This window comes from Homo sapiens, chromosome 20 (assembly GCF_000001405.40).
Source record: "Homo sapiens chromosome 20, GRCh38.p14 Primary Assembly".
NCBI lineage: Eukaryota > Metazoa > Chordata > Mammalia > Primates > Hominidae > Homo > Homo sapiens.
The window spans coordinates 61,219,359-61,225,596 of record NC_000020.11 but is presented as its reverse complement, the minus strand read 5'-3'; the positions used below and the strand labels follow the sequence as shown (position 1 = coordinate 61,225,596).

The following is a 6,238-nucleotide window of genomic DNA, read 5'->3' as shown; positions in this document are numbered from 1 at the left end:
CATTTTGGAGGTCCAAGCACCCATTTTTCCCTTTAGCTGTGGGGAACTCATCTTGCCTGTGCTGTGCAGAGCTGCAAGAGGGAGGTAGCTCTGACGCCTGCTTCCCATTCAGGGGCCCGAGGGATGAGGGCAGCAGCTTCCTTCCTCCAGCCTGGCAGCCGGAGGGCCTGGCCTTGTTTGGGCACAATCACCTTGTCCCTTGGAGCTCTGCCCTCAGACTCTCATTCATCCCTGTGGGGGGCCCTGGCTATGGAACCCTCCCTGGGGCTTTTGAGGGCTTCTGTGCCTAAGTCTGATTCTCCAGTCTTCCCCCAACCCAGAACTTTCCAGAACTTCTGGTAAGTGATGCCCAACCCCTTTGCAAATTAAAATTCCTTGGGAAGCTTAAAAAATACTGATTCTCAAAGCTCAATGCCCAGAAATGTTTTTTTTTAACCAAATCATAGTGTTCTCTGGGCACTGGCATTTGAACAAAGTTTTGCAGGTGATTCTAAGGAATAGTCAGGGTTTAGACCACTGTTCCATAGAAATTCTTTTTTCCCTTAATGTAATTGGAATCAGGGTCTCTTGAATTGTAAACAAAGAGCCCTGACAGATTAGACGGGGTTCTCAAGGAACACTCATTGGGAACCTGTATACACGTGATTGTGTGTGGTTCAGGAAAGCCCTGGTTGGTTTTGGTTTCTTTGTCATTCCTTGGGAGTGATAAATATTGACATATTCACGCCAATAATTCATAGAGTGCAGCCTCCCTTCCCTGCGTAGCAGCCCCTGTTCGTCTCCTGAAATCTCTGGAAGCCTGTGCACCAGGTCTGCTGTGTTTATCCTGCGCCCTTTAACCGGCTTAAAGCACAGCCACAGGCTGAACAAATATTTAAGAGCTGCCTACACCACTCGTTCAGGGTCTCGCTTTGAGAGATAACATTTCAACAGGACCTCCGATCCCTTGTGATCAATAAAATAACTTCATAGCCAGTGTGTGGAATAGAATATGGGCTCTGAAGGAGAAAAGACAATCTTCTCCTCTTCAGTTCCATGGTGTAAGGATGGCTAATTTCAGGGATCCTGTAGCTGGGGCAGAGAATCACAGGCTGTCATTTCCCTGGGAAGCCCAATCAGACAGCATCCTAAATAACGCGTGTCAAATATACGGTGCTTAGTATGAGGAACAAGACGCGGAAACTGGCAAGTCAATCTATAAATCTCGTTTTCCTCGTTTAAAAATGTCATTCAATCTGGATTATGGCCTGGGTGCTTTGACGCATCTGGAGATATTTGTGAGTGCTAAAGTGAAGTTGAAAAATGTGTGTCTCGAGTGGTCTTTATCATGCCAGGATGACAGTGGTTCTGTGGCTCTTCTTCCACTGGATTCTGAGAGTGAGACATGAGAACAGGTTACCCTGGTGAGGGAGAGTTGGGTAGCAAAGCCCAGGAGTCTGTCCCCACTCCACCAGGCACCTGTCTACTGTGGTTCTCTGAACTCCAAAAAGTTCAAGGATGTTTTTTATGATGAACTACATTTTTAATTGATAGCTGTAATGAACACTTGAATTGGTTCCACAAGTGCAATCAAATGAAATGTGGGCTACCTCAGGGCATGGATTCCAGTTGAGGTATGATGTGAAATGCAAATGGACAGGTACAGGTACAGTAACCAAAGAAATAGATACAAGACATCCAGACTAAAGGTCTTTTGAAGCAATGACAGGATGATGGATGAGTGAGCATGGCTTTTCACGCAAGGATTATATTTCTAGATCCTGGAGGTTGGGATGAGCCTGTCTGCAAAGCTGACCATTCCAAGCCCACTAGCCATTGGAGTGTCTATTTTTAACTCTGGACTCACATTTTTCGGCTTCACTTTAGCACCCACAAATCTCTCCAGATGTGTCAGAGCACCCAGACCATATTCCAGATTGAAGGACATTTTTAAATGAGGAAAATGAGATTTATACACAATTATAAGTTCGAACACATCTCTTCAATTCTATGCTGTCAACTATGAGAGCCACTAGCCATGTGTGGGCATTTAAGTTTAAATTAAGTGAATTAACGGAATTAACATATTCAGTTCCTCAGTCCCAAGAGTCACAGAAGTGCTCTGTTGCCTTGTGTTTCTGGCGGCTCCTGTGTTGGAAAGCGCAGATCTAGAACCTTCCCAGCACCACGGAAAGTTCTGTTGCGCATCTACAGCTGCCCTCCACATCATGCCCTTTTGACTTCTACTCAGCATAAAATGGGCCGTTGCCAATGCAGGCAGAGTTTCTCATATGTAAATACTACTATCGCCTTTTTGTTCTGGTGTACACTCCTGTGTATACACACACGAGACGTGGCCAACGGCTCTCAGTGAGCTGATAGCCATACACCACTGGGCACTCAGTGGGCTGCATTTCTGTGTACACATGAGAGGTGGGATTAATAACAAGAGGCCCTCAGGATTACATCACTCTCAGCCCTCGCAACCATGAGCCTGGCAAAGCCATAGAGGGCTGTCGTGTTTATCCGTCTCCAGAGACTGATTTTGGATATAGCTTCAAGATCCCTTTTGGTAAGACCTCTTAGCAGAGACAAGACAAGAAGCAAGCCTCAAGTTGAAAGTATTAGGCTGGTGCAAAAGTAATTGTGGTTTGCCATTAAAGTTCATTGCAAAAACCGCAATTACTTTTGCACCAACCTAATAGACATTTCCCAAACAAGACTGATCTTTTTATTACCTCTAGCTGACGGAAATGCATTAAAATCATGGAGCCCTGTACTTGGCCTTGGGAGCCAAAACTCAGCTGGGTTCCAATCCTGCCCTGGAGCTCTCTTACTCAATAGGGCCCTGGATATGTATTAAACCATCCAAAGATGCATTTTCTCAGCTCTAAAATCAAGCAAATAATTGCTCAAAAGAAAGGCTGGCTGAGGAGAAGGTGCTCTTCTGGGAGAGCGGCTTGGGGAGCCGCTCACTCGGCACGCAGAGAGCTGGCCCCACCCTCCCTATGCTGAGCTCTGATGGAGGGCAGCCACGTGTCTGCTCACCCCTTTCTCTCTGCCGAACCTCTCTCTTCTCCGATGCTGATAAAATTTATGTTGAAGCGGCCGAGTTTCACAGCCAGGTCATTAGAAGTGCTGGCTTGTGGGTGGTGGGAGCCTACCTGGGTGGTGTTGACTCTGCGCAGCTGTGCAGTGCCCGAGAATTTCCTGAATCACAGATGCATTCGCTTTCTACTGCTGCTTTAACCAATTACCGCACACGTAGTGGCTTGAAAAACATGTATTTATTCTCATTTTGGAGTCCAGGAGTCTGACACGGTCTCACTGGGCTGAAATCAAGGCATCCGAAGGGCTGCATTCCTTTCTGGAGGCCCTAAGTGAGGGTCTGCTTTCCTGCCCTTCCCAGCTGCTAGAAGCCACCTGCATTCCTTGGTTGGAGACCCCTTCCTGCATCTTCACAGCCAGCCATGGTGGGCTGAGTCCCACATCCTATCTCTCAGACTCTGCTCCCAGGGACACAGTTCTTTCTCTGTGAGCCTCCTGCCTTCCTCTTCCCCATTTAAGGAGCCTGGGATGACACTGGACCTGCCCAGATAGGGCACTGTGATCTCCCTACTGTAAGGTCAGCTGAATAGTAGCCTTCATTCCCGTTCATCATGGAATCTCATCTATTCACTGGTTTGGGAGAGTAGAATGTGGACATCTTTGCATGCCCATGATTCTGATGATCACCTCTGAGAATAAGGTCATAACAGGCAAGCACATATCCCTGTGTTTCCCTTTACTGATTGTGGGTTTCACATGGGAAAGGTGGAGTTCTCAAGCTATCTCATGTTGTTTTTCCATAGTCTCCTTTGATTAGGGAGAAAGGCTGGCAAGTGAACCTACTGAGTCCTGTTTGCGTGCTGCCTCCTTGTTCCAGCAACACATCAAGATGATGCCTGTCCCAGAGCTCGCCTTTCAGCCAGGCTCAAAAGGAGACAGAGCTAAAGTGGGGGGTTATGGGTGTCTTCCCCTTGGTGCTCTATCTGGCTGTTTCTGGGTTTAAGGAACAGAGGAGGCTATGAGTTCTCTCTCTCCTAAGGTATCTTTCAGATCCTCTCACTTTTCTTTTTGTGCTCCTTGAGGAGGGCACTCTATTTGTGGTGCTTTGTTTATTAATTCTTTCCTTAGCATGGAATCTTCTGCAACAATTACATCATGGCTGATGACAAATAGCATTTGTCTAATGATACTAGTTTTCCAGTATGATAGTTAAGGAGATTATTTAATGAGGCTGAAGTCAATGTTACTTAACATTGCATTACTTAACATAACATTACAGCATTATTTAATACAACAAATTTTTAAGATGATGCCGGGGAATTAGGTGCATGGCTCTCATTATTGTTCATGGTTGTTGCATACCTAATTCCCTGCTCATTGCGCTGAAATCTCGGCACCAACTCCTCCTCCTATGGAAATGAGCTCACGAGCATCTGCACAGAACATACCGGCCGCAGGTGTAAATAACCGCGGTGATGTTTCTTTGTGTATGCAGAAATTAGCCCTGACCCCAATAGAGGGAACGCCTGCATATAGATTCAGTTTGACAATTAGTGGCATGTAAGGGTCATTACCAAGGAAATGAGGTAAACATTTAATTAGTTTTTATTGACTTTCACACTCAGGATGTAAATCTTGGGAGTAGGTAGGGTGCATCGCCTGCCAGGGTCTTAGCGCTGGGATGTACGCGTTTTAAGCAAGATTTATTCCTTCGGTGGCTGTGGGAGAAGGGACAGATCTGGGGGCAGTGCTGGAAGACGACTCAGGGATAACTGGCACACAGGGAAGTACACAGGGCTGTCTCTGACAGCCCACATGGCCTGCGGTGGACCCACTCTCAGATGGGAAGTAGTGATGTCGCCTGCAGAACTGGCTCTTTGGGATTTGGATATTTGGGAGGGGAGTGACTAGACCAGAGGACAGTCACTCCAATGTCCTCTTAATCTGAGCAGACAGCCTGGCCGTAGCATGTTAAAAAGTTGCCTGACCACCAAGATGAGCTCCACGAAGGCAGAGGGCAGGCTCACTGCCAGTTCCTCTGTGCTTGTTACAGTCCCTAGAACATAGCAAGTGCTTAAAAAATATTTGTCAGATTTCTGCCCAGGGCAGATTTCTAAAGATTGACATTTTGATATGGAAGTGGATGCTCCAAACCCTTTTGCCGGTAGGTGACAGAGATCTACCTGGGTCTGAGATCAACCTGACCACGTGGATGCAGGGTGGGGCCAGGAGCTTCCCAGTGGAAAAATGGCACTTGAGTAATGAGCAACAGGAAGCAGGTGAGTCACCTTTTACTGCAGGAAGGTCACCCGTGTCACTGGTAAAGGTGTGGAGATGGTCAAATTAAAGCCAGGAAGCCTGCCTTTCGGTAAAAGTTTTGACACTTGTAGTCTTATGAGTTTTGTTAAATATCTTCATTTTGATGAAGCTAATGGCATCTGCTCTGCCCATCTCACTGGACTTTTGTGAGGAATAAGTAGGATGGCAGGACTGTGTTTTGTCACTGTGTGCAGTGACACGGCTTAGGCGAAATGCACTATGATCTTGAGTTGTTCAATAAATGCAGAGCACCAAATTATATTACAATTTCAGCTAAACAGTCAAATTTGTTAGTGTAAGTATGTTCTGCATATATGTGGAGGCACACTTACATTTAAAAATTGTTTCTTGGCCAGGCATTGTGGCTCATGCCTATAATCCCAGCACTTTGGGAGGCTGAGGCGGGTGGATCACCTGAGGTCAGGAGTTCGAGATCAGCCTGACCAACAAGCTGAAACCCCATCTCTACTAAAAATACAAAATTTAGCCAGGTGTGGTGGCAGGCACCTGTAGTCCCAGCTACTCCAGAGGGTGAGACAAGAGAATTGCTTGAACCAGGGAGGTGGAGGTTGCAGTGAGCCAAGATTGTGCCACTGCACTCCAGCCTGGGCAACAGAGCAAGACTCCGTCTCAAAAAAAAAAATTGTTTCTTGCATGAAACCTACATATACCAAGAAATTATTTGTTTATCTGATCTTCAAATTTAACTGGATGTCTTTTTTTCTTTTCTGTTAATCCTGGGAACCCTACCTTGATAGTGACATAAGACAAGCACGTTTGACTCTAATGCACATTGTTCCTCTGTCTTCTTTCTTCTCTAAGTGCCAGGGAGGGTGGTGTTCTCTGCACTGGAAGCCTGGCTGTGAAGCTGGCCAGCCTGGCTCAGGGAACC

At 46.4% G+C, this 6,238-nt stretch overlaps 1 annotated feature.

Moving 5' to 3' along the window:
• Nucleotides 4,617–5,816: an enhancer, noted in NCBI's record as "P300/CBP strongly-dependent group 1 enhancer chr20:59794837-59796036 (GRCh37/hg19 assembly coordinates)". NCBI's record gives its function as "activates an origin of replication core promoter dependent on BRD2, BRD4, P300/CBP, MED14 and CDK7 cofactors, with strong dependence on P300/CBP, by STARR-seq in HCT116 cells {active_cell/tissue: HCT116}" and the evidence as "EXISTENCE:reporter gene assay evidence [ECO:0000049][PMID:35650434]".